Below are 22,373 nucleotides of genomic sequence, written 5' to 3' on the forward strand. Positions count from 1 at the left end.
TCACATCTGTAATCCTAGCACTTTGGGAGGCTAAGGCGGGTGAATCACTTGAGCCTAGGAGTATGAGACTAGCCTGGGCAACAATGTGAGACCCTGTCTCTACAAAAAACACAAAAATTAGCTGGGCGTGGTGGCGTGTACCTGTAGTCCCAACTACTCAGGAAGCTGAGGTGGGAGGATTGCTTGAGCACAGGAGGTCAAGGCTGCAGTGAGCTATGATCCCACCACCACTGCATTCTAGCCTGGGTGATAGAGTGCAACCCTGTCTAAAAAAAAAAAAAAAGAAATTAGTTTGAAAATAGTGGCCTGCAAAAAGCAAGTATGAGATTGCTTCTTCTTCTTTGGCCTGCAAAAAGCACGTATGAGATTGCTGCTTCTTCTTTTTTTTTTTTTTTGAGACAGGGTCTCACTCTGTCACCCAGGCTGGAGTACAGTGGCACGATCTCAGCTCACTGCAGACTCTACCTCCCAGGCTCAGGTGATCCTCCCACCACAGCCTTCCGAGTAGCTGGGACTACAGGCGTGGGCCACCACACCTGGCTAATTTGTGTATTTTCTTTACAGACGGAGTTTCGCTATGTTGCCCAGCCTGGTCTCAAACTCTTGGGCTCATGCAGTCCACCCACCTTTGCCTCTCAAAGTGCTGAGATTACAGGCATTAAGCCACCCTGCCCAGCCAAGACTGCTTCTTTTTGTAAAAGCCTTTTAATTATTCTTTGACTTTTTAATTTATGTGTATGATAAATGTAAACATTAAAAAATTAAAACCTCCAGTTCAAAAGAAGAAATAAAATATATGCTTTATCCAAAATTCAAAGACTAACAGCTGGGTGTTGTGGCTCACGCCTGTAATCCCAGCACTTTGGGAGGCCAAGGCGGATGGATCACTTGAGGTCAGGAGTTTGAGACCAGCCTGGCCAACATGTTGAAACCCTGTCTCTACTAAAAATACAAAAATTAGCCAGGTGTGGTGGTGTGTGCCTGTAATCCCAGCTACTTGGTAGGCTGAGGCAGGAGAATCACTTGAACCCAGAAGGCGGAGGTTGCCAGTGAGCTGAGATTGCGCTACCTCACTCTAGCCTGGGCGACAGAGTGAGACTCCGTCTCAAAAAAAAAAAAAAAATTCAAAGACTGACATTAAATAATAATCAAATAATGTCAAAAAATTATCAATGATTTCATGGACTTCTTTTTTTGAGGGCATTTTAAAAGCTTAACAGCATAAGAAACTACTGGAAATTGTCAAAAAATGGTCTTCCATATAATTTTAGTTTTATTATTTACTACACAAACTATACCTCAACTAAAGGCACCTTAGAAAATAAAGCAATTCTACAACCCACAATCCGGAGATAATCCATTAACATTTTAATATAGCTTTCAAGATAATTTCTCTAACCTTATTGACTTTTCAAAAATGGATTGGTCATTACACATGTTGTTTAATAACCTGCTTTTTCACTTAATAACATATCAAACATTTCTTGTTGTCATAATCTTTTACTGGCTGCACGGTATCTCATTTAGCAACATGTCATCATCTGCTTAACTGATTTTGTTTGGAAATTTAGCTTTCCATCTCCTCACAATAGCACTGCCATGAACTCAGTTTCTGAACTCACAGTTCTTCAGAGCCGTCTTATTCTTTCATTAAGATATATGGCCAGAAATATAAAATACAGCATGAGTTTTAACACTGAACTTTGAACACAGAACTTTGATTTCTATGTTTAAGCTGTCCTCCAGAAAGGTGGCTAAGAATTTATACCTTTGCCAGGCGTGGTGGCTCGTGCCTGTAATCTCAGCACTTTGGGAGGCCAAGGCAGAAGGATCACAAGGTCAGGAGCTTGAGACCAGCCTGGCCAACATGGTGAAACCCCATCTCTACTAAAAATACAAAAATCAGCCGGGTGTGGTGGCAGGCACCTGTAATCCCAGCTACGCGGGAGGCTGAGGCAGAACTGCTTGAACCTGGGAGGCGGGGGTTCACTAGCCGAGATCACGCCACAGCACTCCAGCCTGGGTGACAGAGCAAGACTCCATCTCCAAAAAAAAAAAAAAAAAAAAGAATTTACACCCTCAACAACACTGTAAAGTTCTGGTTTCCCTACAACTTTGCATCACTTTTTTGCTTTTTCATTTTTGTCAGTTAGGTAAGTAAAAAGTTTAAAACATTCATTCATTCATTTATGAGACAGGGTCTCCCACTGTCACCTAGGCTAGAGTGCAAGGACACAATCACAGCTCACCGCATCTTTGAACTCCTGGGCTCAAGTGATCCTCCTGCCTCAGGCTCCTGAGTAGCTAGGAATACAGGAACACTCCACCACACTAACTAGTATTTATTTTATTTCTGTAGAGATGAGGTTTCACTCGGTTGCCCAGGCTGGTCTTTAACTACTAGCCTCAAGCAATTCCCTCACCTCAGCCTTCCAAGGTGGTGGGATTACCGTCATGAGCCACTGAACTTAGCCTGTGACTAACTTTTTTTGTAGAAGCAAGGTCTATGCTCCCTAGGCTGGTCTTGAACTCCTGGCCTCAAGCAATCCTCCTGCCTCAGACTCCCAGAGTGCTGAAATTATAGATGTGAGCCACGGTGCCTGGCCTTTAACTTTTTATTATGGAATATTTTTTTAAAAATACAGTGAATAATTTAGTGAACCCCCATGTTGTCATCACCTAGCTCTAACAATCATTAAAATATGCACTTTGTTTCCATGTTAACATCCCCCCTTCACCCTCACCCTGGCAACCATGGACTATTTAATTGGAAGCAAATGAAAAAGGATTTTTAAATAACAACCTTGGCCTGTTGAAATAGTTATATTTCAACATTTTAAAAAATTTATTAATATATTTTTTAAAAAATATATTACATAATCAAATTCAGTCCTTCAGATTATTTTATCTTCAAATACGGGTATATAAAGTAAGTAAAAACAAGTTTATGTTACAATCTTTGTTTCTTTCTAATGAATGTCTTCTAGTTTCTGTAACATTTAAAAATAATGTATTTTAGGTATTCATTAGATTTGCTATCTTCCAAATAACATCAGCAAAGAGTCACAACTACCAGAGAGACATTCTCACTGGCTATTCAACTCAGCGAGCTGCTCTGGAGTCCTTACTTCTGTGAGAATATTAGAGATGTTAAGAGTACCCTTCTGACTTGCTAATTCTCTACACCAGTAATTTGGTATGTATAATTACTGCTTGGGTGACTGGACATGGTGACTTACGCTTGTAATCCCAGCACTTTGGGAGGCCGAGGCTGGTGGATCACTTGAGGTCAGAAGTTCGAGACCAGCCTGGCCAACATGGTGAAACCCTGACTCTACTAAAAATATAAAAATTAGCTGGGTGTAGTGGTGCATGCCTGTAGTCCCAGCTTAGTCCCAGCTACTTGGGAGGCTGAGGCAGCAGGATTGCTTGAACTTGGGAGGTGGAGGTTGCAGTGAGCCGAGATAGCGCCACTGCACTCCAGCCTGGGTGACAGAGCAAGACTCCATCTAAAAAAAAATAAAAGAAAAAAAAAAAAGAAACTGCCTGGGTTTATTATTTAAAAAAAAAAAAAAAAGATTCTTGAGCCCTACTCTTGAACATATGAATTCAGCAGGACAGGCCCAGGAGTTTGTATTTTAAACAAGTACTCCAGGTGATTCTGAAGACGGTGGTCCATACACTGCTCTAAAGGAACTGGATTTGGGAATTGACTATATTAGACCATGTTAAGAAAATCTGATAAGGGTAAATAAATTTAGATGTAAAGATTCCTTGTTAATTTATCACTTCCATTTTCACACTGTCCACTGTCATATTTTTAAAATACTCTGGCCTAAATGTGGCCACACAACCAACCAGAGCAGGGAAAAATCAAAATGAAAATAAACATGAGGCTAGTAAATATTACCTTTAAGATATGACCTATTCTTTGGGGTTTACAGACACCTTCACCATCTAGTTTCAAGTCTAGGCCCATTAAGGTGTTTTGTGGGATTCATCACTGAAGCGCACCACCCAATTTTAGACATCTCAACAATCACAGTCTACACTTGAGAGAACATGTGTGTTTGGGTGAAACAGCATCAGAACCTTTTCTTTTCTTCTTCCTACTAAGTGTCAATCTTCAAGTTTTATTCCAAGGATCAGCTTCATATCCAGGTGACAAGCCATATTCTTTAAGGAATAACATGTCTACCCTTAGGAATATAGTCTTAGTTTACAGACACTGATAGATTAACTACTTTTTTTTTTTTTTTTTTAGACAAAGTCTCACTGTGTTCCAGGCTGGAGTGCAGTGGCGTGATCTCAGTTTACTGTAAGCTCTCTGCCTCCCAGACTCAAGCAATTCTCCTGCCTCAGCCTCCTCAGTAGCTGGGATTATAGGTGCCCACCACCACACCCAGCTAATTTTTGTATTTTTGGTAGAGACAGGGTTTCACCATGTAGGCCAGGCTGCTCTCGAACTCCTGATCTCAAGTGATCTGCCCGCCTTGGTCTCCCAAAGTGCTGGGATTACACGCAGGAATCACTGGCGCCCAGCCAGATTAAGTATTTTTTAATACAACTCAACAGCCATAGGAGAGACACATACATCGGGGTGTGCGTGTGTGGTAGGTTGCAAGGGACATTTTGTTATAATAAGATATGAGTCAGTTCAGAATCAGTGCCAATGACAATGCCTTTTTTTTTTTTTTTTTTTTGAGACAGAGTCTCAATCTGTTGCCCAGGCTGGAGTGCAGTGGCACAATCTTGGCTGACTCCAACCTCTGCCTCCTGGGTTCAGGCAATTCTCCTGCTCAGCCTCCCGAGTAGCTGGGATTACAGGCCTACGTCACCATACTTGGCTAATTTTTGTATTTTTAGTAAAGATGGGGTTTTGCCATATTGGCTAGGCTGGCCTTGAACTTCTGGACTCAAGTGATTCACCTGTCTTGGCCTCCCAAAGTGCTGGGATTACAGGGGTGAGCCACTGCACCCGGCCAACAATGCTATTTTGATAAAATCCCACTAATGTATCTTGATGTTTGTTGACTAGGTTAGTAATTTTAGGTTGACTTTTGGAATATTCTTATAATAATTTGTTTGAAATTTGTGGAATAAAAATGATTAGGTACCACTGCCAACATTTTAAAAAACATTCTTCATGATTAGCTCATCGGACGCTGGTACTATTATTATACCATCAGTTTACTGCTTCTTTCGGACCCAGGCTCTCATTAGAACAGTAGGAAAGTTTTGCTGTAATTATGTTCCCATTTTATTTATTTTTACTTTTTTCTTAGACCAGATATCCATACCAACCCAGTTTTAGATAGGTCTCAGAAGATTATCTCTATGGAAACCCAGGAGCTTTAATATAAACGTATACACACACAAACATACAAATGAAATATATGTTTCTTAAGGGCAGGCCCTTTCCAAGACTTTGAGTAGGGTTCTGGCTTCTAGAACAATGGAATCTGTACCTATTATTGTTTTTGTTTTTTTTTGAGATGGGGTCTCCCTGTGTCATCCAGGTTGGAGTGCAGTGGCACTATCACAGCTCACTGCAGCCTCCACCTCCCTGGCTCAAGTGAGCCTTCTGCCTCAGCCTTCTGAGCAGCTGAGATCACAGACATGTGCCACCACGCCCAGCTAATTTTTAAATTATTTGTAGAGATGAGGTCTTGATATGTTGCCCAGGCTGGTCTTGAACTCCTGGGCTCAGGTGATCCTTCCACCTCAGCCTCCCAAAGTGTAGGGATTACAGGCATAAGCCGCCGTGCCCAGCCACCAATTATTCTTTCTAGCTAGAAATTATCACATGGTGTCACATCTGAAAAGCCTAATTAGATACAGAAAGCATGTGCTTAAAATATGGAGGCAAGAGAGCATGGTAGGTCTGAAGAGCTGTTAAGCAGTTTAATGAAGAGCTGTTAAGCAGTTTAATATTAGTGTATGAGGGTGTTTGGGTTAGGGGGAGTGACATGGAGGAACCTTAAATGCATATTGCAAAGCAAAAGAAGCTTATCTGAAAAAGGCCAGATAGTGTATGATTATGACTACATGACATTCTGGAAAAGGAAAAATTATGGAGACAGTAAGCAGTGGTTGCAGGAGTTCAGGAAGGAGAAGAGGGATGAACAGGTGGAACACAGGGGATTGTTAGGCAGTGCAACCATTTTGTATTCTACTGTAATGGTGGATACATGTCATTATACACTTGTCAAAACATATAGAATGTACAACACAAAGAATGAACCCTAATGTAAACTATGGACTTCAGTTAATAATAATGTGTCAATGTTGGCTCATCAATTGTAACTTATGTATTAAGCTACTGCAGGATGTCAATTACAGGAGAAAGGCAGAAGGTGTTGAAGGGGCATACGGTAACTCTCTTAATTTTCCACTTAATTTTTAATTATTCTGTAACTCTGACTGTCCCCCAAGATGAAGTCTACTGATTAAGATGTTCAGTGTTTTTTTCCTATGGCCATAACGCTCTAATAGCAAAACCGCTTGAGAAAAGTTTGAGGCTATGTGTGTTTCAAGAATGTATTTAGGGCCAGGTGCGGTGGCTCATGCTTGTAATCCCAGCAGTTTGGGAGGTGGAGGCAGGTGGATCACTTGAAGTCAGGAGTTCAAGACCAGCCTGGCCAAAGTGGTGAAATGCTGTCTTTACTAAAAACACAAAAATCAGCCAGGCAAGGTGGCACACGCCTGTACTCCTAGCTACTTGGTAGGCTGAGGTAGGAGACTCGGTTGAACCTGGGAGGTGGAGGTTGCAATGTGCTGAGATGGTGCCACTGCACTCCAGCCTGGGTGAAAGAGTGAGACACTGTCTCAAAAAAAAAAAAAAAAAAAGAAAAAAAGAAATAAAAGAAAAGAAAAAAAAAGTATGTATTTAGGCTCATTTTTAAGTGAAATATAACACAGCAAAATGTACAGATTTTATGTGTACAAGTTGGTAAAATTTTACTTACATACATAGTCATGAAATTATCACCCAGATTGAGCCATAGTGCATTTCCCACTCCCCAGAAGACTTCCATGTGTCTTCCTCCAGAAACTGCCCTACACTCGTCCAAAGGTAACCACCATTCTGATATCTACCATCACACAATAGTTTTGTCTATTCTTGTATTTAATATAAAGGATTATATGGTATGCATTTGTTTCTGTATCCTGTTACTCAGCATTGTCTGTGAGATTCACCAATGTTGGCATATAGCATGGTAGCTTATGCTTTTCCGGTGTGGCATAGTATTGCATTTGTGATTACATCATAATTTATCCTTTCTAATGTTAATGGCCATTTGGGTTGTCTCCAATCTATTATATATAATGCTGCTATGAGCATTCTTAAACATGTCTTTTGGTCAGTATATGTACTCATTTCTCTAGAGTGTAACTTCTGCGTAATAAAGAAGATTTAGTAAATACTGCCAAACCATTTTCCACAGAGTTTGTAATAGGCTCCTTACTTTTTGCAAGAGAACTTTTACCTTACCTTCTGCCTAGTTAACTGTCAAAGCCAATTAATGGTCCCTTAACTGACCACACTGAATAACTTAATTCTGTGTTCTTAATAGAAAATACAACACTGAATTTTCAGCTATCCAATCACGTTAGTGAAGATACGGAATAGGAAGTCTTGCACATTGCTGGTGGGAGTGTAAACTGGTATAAGCACTTTGGAAAATGGCTTCGCAGTATCGACTAAAGTTGAATGTCTACACACTTTATACCTAGAATAACTATACACTTCAGTGTGCTTGGGACAGTCCTGGCTTATGCCTGTTGTTACACAGTAATTTTTAATTATTTTCATTCTCAAAAGTGTCCTGGCTTGAACAATTATAGTAGTCACCCAGCAATTCCATTCCTAGGCATATGAAAAATAGAAGTAAATACATTACACCAAAAATTTTATAACAGGGCTCATAACAGTTTTATTCATAATAACCCCAAATGGAAATAACTCAAATGTTTACAATAGTCAAATGCACAAACTACAATATATTCATATGAGATACTACTATACAGTAGCAAAAATGAACAGACTACTGCTGCATGGAACTACGTGGGTAAATCTCAGCATTGAGTGAAAGATCCAAAACCCCAAATAACTCATTCTATATGATTTCATTAGTAAAATGTTAAAAACCAGGGATCTCGTTTGTCATGTTAGAAGTCAGGAAAATGAGGAGATGAGAGAGAGAGTGTGGGAGGAGTAACGAGGGCCTTCTGAAATTCTGGTAATGTTCCAGTTCTTCACCTGAGTTGAAATTAAATGGGCATGCTCATTTTTGTGATAATTCATCAAGCTAGATACTTATGGTGTGTATTTTTCTGTACATATCTCATACTTCAATAAAAATGTATCCTAAATAAAAGTCTAAGAAATAATATCTATAAAAGATTGTTGGAAAGACATGCAACTGCCATTCATTCTTCCACTAGCATACCTCTTGATCTAACCAGATGACCAGTAAGTTATGTATTTAGATCCCACTGTTTTTGCCCATTACAAAATTGCTCTTTATATGTTAGACCATTAGCCTAACACTTTCCTGTTTAGTACATTTTCTTATCCTCTTCATATAGACCCATAAGAGAAACTTCTTTCAAAGTTTAGAAATAGGAAAAGAATAACTGGTTTGGCTTTGTCTTACTAGACACACTCTTCAACATATTATGCTCCTTACTTTGCTTTGGCTACCAAATATGTGACCTACTTTGATACTGTATGCATTTCTGTTTGCTAACATGAACTCTCATCTTACCAGATTTCACCTTAGCAGTGATTCTTTTAACTGTCAGACTGAAGCATACATTGCCACTTTTTAAGTGAATGTCAAGTATCAGTAATTTATTTTGGTTTAACCTAATGTTTGATTATTTTTGTGTCATATGTATTCATGCAAACTGCCTAAAAATCTATGGGGAACAAGGTAGGGTATAAATATAAAAATAAATATTTGTCACTGTGCATAATCAGTCTCAGTTTCAATTATTTGTTTGGTTGTATTCTAAGAATAAGGTGATTAATAAAACAATCAAATATGGCTCCACATTTATTGGTAGCTTGACCATTTAGACAATAATAGAAAGACTAGCCAGAACCAAATCCCTAATCCAATAACAAAATAAAAACAAACAAGAAACCTGCTTCTTTCATTTTAAAAGTCTTTTTTTGTTTTCTAGTATTATGCTGATATTGTTAAACTATTAGCATTTTTATAAGCCATTTTAAAATAATGTTTATAGTATTTAAAATAAATCAATGGGCATATTTTCATAAATACTTTCATAAAAATTATGCTTACTGTATTTTCATAAATACTTTCATAAATATTGTACTTATTAACACATGATTGAATATATGTAGATAAATTTTTTCTAAATCATATGATTTGACATTAGAGCTAAATATTTAAAATAAGCACTGTTTAGAAAAATATGGAATAATTGGTAGGTGTGGATGTATTCTCTCTCTTCTGTTAGACCCTTGATGGTAGGGATTATTTCTTAATCATATTTATATCCTAGAACTTAGTACTCTGACTTGACAAGAGCAGGCACATGAACTATACTGAACAGACGGTAGGATTCTTGAAAAAGCCCTAGTGGTAGCAAGGCCACTGAGGCCAGACTGCCTCTCCAGATTCCCTCCTCTCTGGGCAGGGCATCTCTGAAAAAAACGCAGCAGCCCCAGTCAGGACTTATAGATACAACCCTCACCTCCCTGGGACGAAGCACCTGGGGGAAGGGGCGGTTGGGGGCACAGCCTCAGCAGACTTATACATCCCTGCCTGGCAGCTCTGAAGAGAGCAGCGGATCTCCCAACACAGCGTTCGAGCTCTGATAAGGGACAGACTGCCTCCTCAAGTGGGTTCCTGACCCCTGTGTGTCCTGAATGGGAGACACCTCCCAGTAGGGGCCAACAGACACCTCATACAAGAGAGCTCTGGCTAGCATCTGGCAGGTGCCCCTCTGGGACAAAGCTTTCAGAGGAAGAAACAGGCAGCAATCTTTGCTGTTCTGCAGCATCCACTGGTGATACCCAGGCAAACAGGGTCCAGAGTGGACCTCCAACAAACTCCAGCAGACCTGCAGCAGAGAGGCCTGTCAGAAGGAAAACTAACAAGCAGAAAGGCATAGTATCAACATCAACAAAAAGGACATCCACTCAGAGACCCCAGCCAAAGGTCACCAACTTCAAAGACCAAAGGTAGATAAATCCACGAAGATGGGGAGAAACCAGTGTAAAAAGACTGAAAATTCCAAAAACCAGAACATCTCTTTTCCTCCAAAGGATCACAACTCCTTGCCAGCAAGGGAACAAAACTGGATGGAGACTGAGTCTGACGAATTGACAGAAGTAGGCTTCAGAAAGTGGGTAATAACAAACTCCTCTGCACTAAAGGAGCATGTTCTAACCCAATGCAATGAAGCTAAGAACCTTGAAAAAAGGTCAGATGAATTGCGAACTAGAATAACCAGTTTAGAGAAGAACATAAATTACCTCATGGAGCTGAAAAACACAGCATGAGAATTTCATGAAGCATACACAAGTATCAATAGCCAAACAGATCAAGCAGAAGAAAGGATATCAGAGATTGAAGATCAACTCAATGAAATAAAGCAAGAAGACAAGATTAGAGAAAAGAGAGTGAAAAGAAACAAACAAAGCCTCCAAGAAATATGGGACTATGTAAAGAGACCAAATCTACGTTTGACTGGTGTACCTGAAAGTGATGGGGAGAATGGAACCAAGCTGGAAAACACTCTTCAGGGTATTATCCAGGAGAGCTTCCCCAACCTAGCAAGGTAGGCCAACATTCAAATTCAGGAAATACAGAGAACACCATAAAGATACTCCTCAAGAAGATCAACCTCAAGACACATAATCATCAGATTCACCAAGGTTGAAATGAAGGAAAAAATATTAAGGGCAGCCAGAAAGAAAGGGTGGGTTACCCACAAAGGGAAGTCCATCAGACTAACAACGGATCTCTCAGCAGAAATCCTACAAACCAGAAGAGATTGGGGGCCAATATTCAACATTCTTAAAGAAAAGAATTTTCAACCCAGAATTTCACATCCAGACAAACTAAGCTTCACAAGCGAAGGAAAAATAAAATCTTTTACAGACAAGCAAATGGTGAGACATTTTGTCACCACCAGGCCTGCCTTACAAGAGCTCCTGAAGGAAGCACTAAACATGGAAAGGATCAGCCAGTACCAGCCACTGCAAAAACATACCAAATTGTAAAGACCATTGACACTATGAAGAAACTGCAACAACTAACGGGCAAAATAACCAGCTAGCATCATAATGGCAGGATCAAATTCACACATAACAATATTAACCTTAAACATAAATGGGCTAAATGCCCCAATTAAAAGACACAGACTGGCGAACTGGAGAGAGGCAAGACCCATCAGTGTGCTGTATTCAGGAGACTCATCTCATGTGCAAAGACACACATAGGCTCAAAATAAACGGATGGAGGAGTATTTACCAAGCAAATGGAAAGCAAAAAAAAGCAGGGGTTGCAATCCTAGTCTCTGATAAAACAGACTTTAAACTAACAAAGATCAAGAGACAAAGAAAGGCATTACATAATGGTAAAGGGATCAATTCAACAGGATAAGCTAACTATCCTAAATATATATGCATCCAATACAAGAGCGCCCAGATTCATAAAGCAAGTCCTTAGAGACCTACAAAGAGACTTAGACTCCTACACAATAATAGTGGGGGAATTTAACACCCCACTGTCAATATTAGACAGATCAATAAGACAGAAAATGAACAAGGATATCCAGGGCTTAAAATCAGCTCTGGCCCAAGCAGACCTAGTAGACATCTACAGAACTCTCCACTCCAAATCAACAGAATATATGTTCTTCTCGGCACCGCATCACACTTATTCTAAAATTGACCACATAGTTGGAAGTAAAACACTCCTCAGCAAATGCAAAAGAACGGAAATCATAACAAACAGTCTCTCAGACCACAGTGCAATCAAATTAGAACTCAGGATTCAGAAACTTACTCAAAACTGCACAACTACATGGAAACTGAACAACCTGCTCCTGAATGACTACTGGGTAAATAACAAAATGAAGGCAGAAATAAAGATGTTCTTTGAATCCAATGAGAACAAAGACACACGTACCAGAATCTCTGGGACACATTTAAAGCAGTGTGTAGAGGGAAATTTATAGCACCTAAATGCCTACAAGAGGAAGCAGGAAAGATCTAAAATTGACACCCTAAAATCACATTGAAAAGAACTAGAGAAGCAGGAGCAAACAAATTCAAAAGCTAGCAGAAGGCAAGAAATAACTAAGATCAGAGCAGAACTGAAGGAGATAGAGACACAAAAAACCCTTCAAAAAAATCAATGAATCTAGGAACTTTTTTTTTTTTTTGGAAAAGATCAACAAAATAGACCACTAGCCAGACTAATACAGAAGAAAAGAAAGAAGAATCAAATAGGTGCAATAAAAAAAATGATAAAGGGGATACCACCACTGATCCCACAGAAATACAAACTATCATCAGAGAATGCCATAAACACCTCTATGCAAATAAACTAGAAAATCCAGAATAAATGGATAAGTTCCTGGACACATACACCCAAGACTAAAGCAGGAAGAAGTTGAATCCCTGAATAGACCAGTAACAAGTTCTGAAATTGAGGCAGCAATTAATAGCTTACCAACCAAAAAAAGTCCAGGACCAGACAGATTCACAGCTGAATTCCACCAGAGGTACAAAGAGGAGATTGTACCATTCCTTCTGAAACTATTCCAAACGATAGAAAAAGAGGGAATCCTCCTTAACTCATGAGGCCAGCATCATCCTGATAACAAAACTTGGCAGAGACACAACAAAAAAACAAAATTTCAGGCCAATATCCCTGATGAACATTGGTGTGAAAATCCTCAATAAAATACTGGCAAACCGAATCCAGCAGCACATCAAAAAGCTTATCCACCACGATCAAGTCAGTTTCATCCCAGGGATGCAAGGCTGGTTAAACATATGCAAATCAATAAACGTAATCCATCACACAAGCAGAACCAATGACAAAAACCACGTTTATCTCAATAGATGCAGAAAAGGCCTTCAACTATATTCAACAGCCTTCATGCTAAAACCTCTCAATAAACTAGGTATTGATGGAACGTATCTCAAAATAATAAGAGCTATTTATGACAAACCCACAGCCAATATCATACTGAGTGGGCAAAAACTGGAAGCATTCCCTTTGAAAACTGGCACAAGACAAGGATGCCCTCTCTCACCACTCCTAGTCAACATAGTGTTGGAAGTTCTGGCCAGGGCAATCAGGTAAAAGAAAGAAATAAAGGGTATTCAATTAGTCAGAGAAGAAGTAAAATTGTCTCTGTTTGCAGATGACATGATTGTATACTTAGAAAACCCCATTGTCTCAGCCCAAAATCTCCCTAAGCTGATAAACAACTTCAATGAAGTCTGAGGATACAAAATCAATGTGCAAAAAATCACAAGGATTCCTATATACCAATAACAGACAAACAGAGAGCCAAATCATGAGTGAACTCCCATTCATAACTACTAGTAAGAGAGAAAAAACCAGGGAATACAACTTACAAGGGATGTGAAGGACCTCTTCAAGGAGAACTACAAACCACTGCTCAAGGAAATAAGAGAGGACACAAACAAATGGAAAAACATTCCATGCTTATGGATAGGAAGAATCAATATTGTGACAATGGCCATACTGCCCAAAGTAATTTCTAGATTCAATGCTATCCCCATCAAGCTACCATTGACTTTCTTCAAATAATTGGAAAAAACTACTTTAAATTTCATATGGAACCAAAAAAGAGCCCGTATAGCCAAGACAATCCTAAGCAAAAAGAACAAAGCTGAAGGTATCACGCTACCTGACTTCAAACTATACTACAAGGCTACAGTAACCAAAACAGCATGGTACTGGTGCCAAAACAGATATATAGACCAATGGAACAGAATAGAGGCCTCAGAAATAACGCCACACATGTACAACCATGTGATCTTTGACAAACCTGACAAAAACCAGAAATGGGAAAAGATTCCCTATTTAATAAATGGAAAACTGGCTAGCCATATCCAGAAAGCTGAAACTGGATCCCTTCCTTACACTTTATACAAAAATTAACTCACGATGGATTAAAGACTTAAACGTAAGACCTGAAACCATAAAAACCCTAGAAGAAAACCTAGGCAATACCATTCAGGACATAGGCATGGGCAAAGACTTCATGATTAAAACACCAAAAGCAATGGCAACAAAAGCCAAAATAGACAAATGGGATCTAACTAAACTAAAGAGCTTCTGCACAGCAAAAGAAACTATCATCAGGGTGAAAAGGCAACATACAGAATGGGAGAAAATTTTTGCAATTTATATTTTGCATCTGACAAAGGGCTAATATCCAGAATCTACAAAGAACTTAAACAAATTTACAAGAAAAAAAAACCCATCAAAAAGTGGACGAAGGATATGAACTTCTCAAAAGAAGAAGTTTATGCACCCAAGACATATGAAAAAAAGCTAATCATCACTGGTCATTTGAGAAATGCAAATCAAAACCACAATGAGATACCATCTCATAGAATGGTGATCATTAAAAAGTCAGGAAACAACAGATGCTGGAGAGGATGTGGAGAAATAGGAACACTTTTACACTGTTGGTGGGAGTGTAAATTAGTTCAACCATTGTGGAAGTCAGTGTGGTGATTCCTCAAGGATCTAGAACTAGAAATACCATTTGACCCAGCAATCCCCTTACTGGGTATATACCCAAAGGATTATAAATCATTCTACTATAAAGACACATGCACACACATGTTTACTGCGGCACTGTTCATGATAGCAAAGACTTGGAACCAACCCAAATGCCCATCAATGATAGACTGGATCAAGAAAATGTGGCACATATACACCATGGAATACCTTGCAGCCATAAAAAAAAATGAGTTCATGTCCTTTGCAGGGATATGGATGGAGTTGGAAACCATCATTATCAGCAAACTAACAGAAAAACAGAAAAACCAAACACTGCATGTTCTCATTCTTAAGTGGGAGTTGAACAATGAGAACACATGGACACAGGGAGAGGAACATCACACACCGGGGCCTGTCGTGGGGTGGGGGGCTAGGGGAGGGATAGCATTAGGAGAAATACCTAATGTAGATGACGGGTTGATGGGTGCAGCAAACCACCATGGCACGTGTATACCTATGTAACAAACCTGCACGTTCTGCACACGTACCCCAGAACTTACAGTATAATAAAAAAAAAGAAAAAGCCCTAGGTACTAATTATTTATCCCACCCTTTTAAATGCTGAAGGAGAACATTAATAAGCAGACAGATGGGAGTACTAACAATACAAGACCCAAATAACATATTCGTTCTTACCTGATGTGGACTGCTTCATCATGTTATGCATTAAGAGACAAAGTATAAAAAGTAAAAACATGTAGAATTTATTTAAATAATATTTAAGACATCTGACACACTCAGCACAAGTTTAATAGTTAACAAAATCTTTTTTTATAACATCTAAATCTACTTTAATGGAATCTTAACTTTGCATTATCAATAAAGAGATCGGATTTTAGAATTTCTCTGTGTGTATTAAACAATGCTGGTCCCCCAAAAACATTTAGTAATGAGAAAAGGAAAGCGATAAGTTATTATACAATTTACAAAGAATAAAGCATAAAAATGCAGTATAGTTAATAAGAAAACAGGAAACTGTCATGTTCATAGTCTGATGAAAGGTTTTGACAGGAAACAGCAGAGTTTCTTACTGTATGATAGTAAAAATTCAAACACTAAAAAAACACTATTTATAAAAGATTACAGCTATTCCACGCAAGTTATCATTGAAATTCTACAGCAGGGATAACCTGTAAAGATGAATATTCTGAAGCCCCAAAGGACTTCATCATCATTAAGGATACATAAGTATTTTTAAATTTTTCATTAGTCTACTTTATTGGCTAAACCAGTAGATATTAAGACAGAAATTTCTTTTGTGAAATAGAGAAGTGTCATGGTTTTAGAGTTTTGTAGTCTTTAAATGTAGGTTCTTTATAAGTGATAAAGAAATCTGTGCCGAGAAAATATGATCACCTGGGCAAGTGTCTGTGTGGCTAGAGGAGACAATGTGCTGTGTGTCTGCTTTCTTTTAGCACATCATAGGACACTGGTAACTTAAAAAATTACAGTTGATTTTTTTTTACACTTGGTTTTAAAGAGACGTAACAAGTTATCCTTCAATTTTAACATTGGGGTAATGGAATTAATAATACAATCTTATAATTATATAATGCTTTACAGTTAAAAGTGCTTTCATGCATATTATTTCAACTTAAAAAAAATTTCCCCTGTGTGTGACTGGAGGTTGCACTGTGCAGACAACTACCACTTTCTGAGATTCAAAAGAATAAGAGGAAGGGCTGCATTGGGTATTTTGAAAGACAATCAATCCACAACAAAGTGGAAAAAAGTCATCCACACACCAAAAAAAACCCCTAACCAAATGAACTTTGATCACTACTAGACAGGGTTTAAACCATTGAAGTGAATCATGTGACACCAAGTGAACTGCAAAACAGTTGCAGTAAGTTTCCAAGACTGAGTCATATCAGATTATAAAAGCTCCTATTCGTACATTTGAGTTTGTATAATTAATCTTTATAAAACAAAGAGCTATAGCTTTTTGAGCTAAATGTAGCATTTCTGTAAGTGATATGTAATATATACAATTTTAAATAACAATGTATTTTACTTTTCATGGAAAGATCTAATAATCACATAGTTTGTATTTCTAAGTTCTAGAGGCTTTACTTTTTTTTCCATCCTCAGAGTTTGGTCAGTAATTTTGTTGGATTCCTTATAGAATACCTTTAATAGTTTTCTGTTTTCAAAATCTAAAATAAATGTAATGGGAGATGATATGCAAAATTTATTCTCAATTATCAGCTTCTTTAAACACTGAATTGTAAACATGACAAAGGTTAGACTAGTAATAACCACACAAACAAAATGATTTCCAGAGAATCAGAACAGGAAATCAGTAAAAGTGATCGACTGGAGGTCATGATTTCTTCATTACTTTATTACACAGACAAGAGCCAAAATTCTAATCTACAGTACTTAAAAAAAAAAAACTAAAAAAAATTCAAGAATTTTATTGAAATAATACTAGGTACATAATGCTGAAAATGTTTTTGGTTTTAAGCTAAGTAAATCATAAAAAATATAAAATTTAGAATGAAAAAATTGTAGATTTCATGTAAAACTGTATATAATGCAATAGTTAAAGCTGACGTTTTTAGAAGGAAAAAACATGCACCCACATTAATAAGTAAAAAAGGTAGAAAGGAAAGGAAAGTTTGGAATAGAAGAAACTTACAACTGCACACTTTTTACCTGAGAAGAAGAGAGGGGGAGTCATTTACAGAGAATTCTTAGTCTTTCTACAGTGCATACTTAGATGTATTCAGTATTGTGGGCAAACAAAATGAAACTGCCACTGAATGTCTTCTTCCTGGCAGCTGACACATCTTGATAAAATTGAAACCATTAACATTATTTAGAAGGTACTCTAAGGTCAACGCTGATGAGGCTACGAATATGTGAGGTTCTATGTAAATTTATGACCAATTACAGGAAATAAATCACTTCACACTTGTTTCACTCTGAACTTTTAAAGCTACATCAAAGTACCATGTAGATTTCCTTTGATTTAACCTTCAGCAAAATGAAGCATTTAAAAATTCAAACCTTTAGCAAAACACCCTCATGAAAATGAAGTACTTCTTTTCTATTTGGATTGGATTCTGTTCAGAGGAAATTCTTGTTCTCTAAAGCTATATCATGTGTTTTTTCAGTCCATCAATCAATTAACCAAATATGCACCTAGTGTTTAGGTGACAAGTGTTGTGATGCTGGAAAGGCAAAGACAAATGACAAGGCTCCTGCCCTCAGTTAAAAATCTGAAGGGCAAGACAAAAAAACTAAACAGCTGATTCCAAGGTGGCACACTGTTAAGTAAACCCACAGGAGAAGCAATACACTGGCTAGAAGGGAGAATTCTTAGGGAAGGAGGAAGATGATGATGTTCGAGTTGGGTCTGTAAGGATGAGCAGAGGTGGAGGGAGGAGAAATCAGGCACAGGTGGCATGGGGAAAAGCCTAAGGCCAGAGAATGTATTATGTGTTAGGAAACTGCAAGTGGTTTGGTGTGGCTGGATATAGGTCTCAAAATGAGAGGTGAGAGATGAAACTTGAAAGAAAGCTGGGGCTAAACTATGAAGAATCTTATGCCATGTTAAAGAATTAGAACTTATCACGAAGGTTATGGGTGAGTCACTGAGGCAGTGGAGTAGTGTCATTAGATTTTATCTAATCCTTTATAATATCACACTGTGACTACATAAGTATTTTGTGGTATAGCTGGAACAATAAGAGCACTTATTTAGCCCTTACTATGTCCCAGGCTCTGTTTTAAGTGCTTTTCCAGCATTAATTTACTTAATTCCCCCAATATCTCCCACAAGATAATTGAGGGATGGAGGAAAACTTTTTTTTAGGTGTCAAATCACTCAAGAAATCTGAAAAAATCTTGAACCCGGCCGGGCGCAGTGGCTCACGCCTATAATCCCAACACTTTGGGAGGCCGAGGCGGGCGGATCACGAGGTCAGGAGATGGAGACCATCCTGGCTAACACTGGTGAAACCCCGTCTCTACTAAAAATATAAAAAATTAGCCGGGTGTAGTGGCGGGCGCCTGTAGTCCCAGCTACTTGGGAGGGTGAGGCTGGAGGATGGCGGGAACCCGGGAGGCGGAACTAGTAGTGAGACGAGATCATGCCACTGTGCTGCAGCCTGGGCGACAGAGCTAGACTCCATCTCAAAAAAAAAAAAAAAAAAAAAAAATCTTGAACCCATTCTCCCAAAGATCCGCCTATGTTTATACATAAAATATTTGTAAATACTTTAATAGACCCCATCCATGGGCCCCAGGTTAGGAAACTGTCCAGAAGAGAAAGACTATGAATTTTTAAAATGACCTTGAGATATAACTTGCCTTCCATACAATTTACCCATTTAGAGTGTACAATTTGATGGCTTTTAGTATATGCATAGAGTTGTGCAACCATCACCACAACCAATCCTAGAATATTTTTATCATGCCATAAATAAACCACACACCTCTTAGCTGTCATCCCTTAAAACCCCTCTCTTCCCCTCCAACCCCAAGGAACCACTAATCTACTTTCTTTCTCTATAAATTTATCTATTCTGGACATATAAATGAAATCATACAATATGTGGCCTTCTGTGACTGATTTTTGAAAAATTTATCATCCATGTTGTGGCATGTGTCAGCACTTGATTCCTTTTATTGCCTCATAATTGATCATATGGATATACCACATTTTATTTATCCAGTCATCAGATGATTGACATCTGAGTTGTTTCTACTCTCTAAATATTATTAATAATGCTGCTATGAACATTTATGCAGATGTCTTAGTGTAGACATGTTTTCATGTTACTTGGGTATATACCCAGGAGTGGAACTGCTAGGTCATATAGCAACTCTATGTTTACCATTTGAGGACCTGCTATATACTGTTTTCAAAGTGGCTGTACCATTTTACCTTTCTATCAGCTGTGTATGAGGGTTCCAATTTTTCTACATCCTTGCAACATTTTTATTATCTGTTTTATTATAGCCATCCTAGTAAGTGTGAAGTGGAATCTCACTGTCATTTTGGTTTGCATTCCCTTGATCACTGATGTTGGGCATATTTTCTCATGTCCACTGGCCATCTGGTATATCATTTTTGGAAAACAGTCTATTCAGATCCTTTATCCATTTTATAACTGGGTTATCTTTTTATAATTGAATTGTAAGAGTTCTTTATATATTCTAGATACAGGCCCCTTATCAGGTAAATGATTTGATTTTTTTCTTCCATTCTCTAGGTTGTCTTTTCACTTTCTTGATGGTGATCTTTGAAGCACAAAAGTTTTAAATTTTGATGATGTTCAGCTTATCTATTTTCTTCTCTGCTGCTTGTGCCTTTAATGTCATATCTAAGACAATGAATTTTTCCGTAAGTCTCATTTCCTTTTCCTATAAAAACAGAAGCTTGGCCAGGCACAGTGGCTCATGTCTGTAATCCCAGCACTTTGGGAGGCCGAGGCGGGAGGATCACCTGAGGTCAGGAGTTTGAGTACAGCCTGGCCAACATGGTGAAACCCCGCCTCTACTAAAAATACAAAAATTAGCCAGGCGTGGTGGCAGGCACCTGTAATCCAAGCTACTTGGGAGCCTGAGGCAGGAGAATTGCTTGGCCCCGGGAGGCGGAGGTTGCAGTGAGCTGAGATCGTGCCACTGCACTCCAGCCTGAGTGACAGAGAAAGACTCTGTCTCAAAAAAACAAAAAACAAATAAACAAAAAAGCAGAAGCTTAATCTATAAAGTCAACCACTCTCACTTTTAGTGTTCCATAGAAGAAAGCCTGAAAATCATTCTAGTCATATAGTTGTTTCAGTTTAAAAAATATAGTGAAGAAAAATATTTAAAAATCAGAAATAATGTATCTGATAAGGAACACATATTTAGAATATGTAAAGAACTCTTGCAACTCAATTATAAAAAGACAATCCAATTTAAAAATAGGCGAAGGATCTAAATAAGACATTTCTCTGAAGAAGCTATAAATGGCCAATAAGCATATGAAAACATGCTCAATATCATTAGCCACCAGGAATGTACATCAAAACCATAATGAGATACTACTTAATCGAAAAAATAAATAATAAATGTTAGTAAGAATGTGGATAAATCAAAACACTCATACACAGCTGGTGGGAATGTAAACTGGTACTGCTACTTTGGAAAACAGTAGGGCAGTTCCTCAAATAGTTAAACATACAGTTACCATATGACCCAGTAATTCCATTACTACGCATATACTCAGACCAATGAAAACATACGTTTATATGGAAACTTGTAAATGAATGCTCAAAATAATATTATTTATGATAGCCAAAAAGTGGGAATAAAGCAAATATCTATCAACTGATGAATGGATAAATACAAATATCAGAATAAAGCGAGTCACATGAATTTTGTTTCCCAGTGCATATAAAAGTTATCTTTACATTATACTGTAGTCTGTTAAGTGTGCAACAGTATATGTTTAAAAACAATGTATATACCTTAATTAAAAATGGTTTACTCCTAAAAAATGCTAATGATCACCTGAGTGGTCAGCAAGTAATGGATCTTTTTGCTGGTGGAGGGTCTTGCCTTGATGCTGGTGGCAGCAGGCTGGCCAGTTACTGAAGGTTGGGGTGGTTGTGGCAATTTCTTAAAGTAAGACAACAATAAAGTTTGCTGCACTTCCTCACTCGGCCTTGCATGAAGTATTTCTCTGTAGCATTAGATGCTGTTTGATAGCATTTTACTCACAGTAGAACTTCTTTCAAAATTGGAGTAAATGCTCTCAAACCCTGCCACTGCTTTATCAACTAAGTTTACGGAATATTCTAAATCCTTTGTTGCCATCTCAACAATGTTCACAGTATCTTTACCAGGAGAAGATTCTAGCTCAAGAAACCACTTTTTTTTTTTGCTCATCCCTAAGAAGCAACTCCTCGTCCATTCAAGTTTGATCATGAGATTGCAGCAATTCAGGCACATCTTCAGGCTCTACTACATTACTAATTCTAGTTTTCTTGCTCTTTCCACTACATCTGCAGTGACTTCCTCCACTGAAGTCTTCAATCCCTCAAACGGTTGGAATCAACTTCTTCCAAACTCCTGTTAATGTTGATATTTTGACCTCCTCCCATGAATCACAAATGTTCTTAACGACATCTAGAATGGTGAACCCTTTGCGGAGGATTTCAATTTACTTTGCCCAAATCCATTAGAGGAATCACTATATATGGCACTATATGTCTTCTGGATAACCTGCTGCTTCTACATCAGCACTTGCTGCTTCACCTTGTACTTTTATGTAATGGAGCCTTATGAAATGATGTCTTAAATAATAAGACTTGAAAGTTGAAATTACTCCTTGATCCACGGGCTGCAGAATGAATGTTTCGTTAGCAGCATGAAAACAACATTAATCACCATGTACATCTGCATCAGAGCTCTTGGGTGACTAGTTGCATTGTTTCTGAGCAGTAATATTTTGGAAGGAAATCATTTTTTCTGAGCAGTAGGTTTCAACAGTGGGCTTAAAATATTTATTTTACCATGCTGTAATGAGATGTGCAGTCATCCAGGCTTTGTTTTTTCATT

At 38.2% G+C, this 22,373-nt stretch overlaps 1 protein-coding gene across 27 annotated transcripts in view; it reads right to left on the reverse strand.

Annotated features, from left to right (window-relative positions):
• The window catches only part of EVI5 (ecotropic viral integration site 5), a 283,715-nt gene that overhangs the window by 11,889 nt on the left and 249,453 nt on the right, over positions 1 to 22,373 (reverse strand). For 3 of the 27 annotated variants that reach the window (NM_001350198.2, NM_001377213.1, XM_017002282.2), the window contains one exon: positions 15,453 to 15,462. The exons of the other annotated variants lie outside the window; for them this stretch is intronic. In NM_001350198.2, coding sequence (NP_001337127.1) covers positions 15,453 to 15,462 — 10 coding nt within the window. The remainder of the gene's footprint in view (positions 1 to 15,452; positions 15,463 to 22,373) is intronic. 27 annotated transcript variants of the gene reach the window in all.

Source organism: Homo sapiens, chromosome 1 (assembly GCF_000001405.40).
Source record: "Homo sapiens chromosome 1, GRCh38.p14 Primary Assembly".
Taxonomy (NCBI): domain Eukaryota; kingdom Metazoa; phylum Chordata; class Mammalia; order Primates; family Hominidae; genus Homo; species Homo sapiens.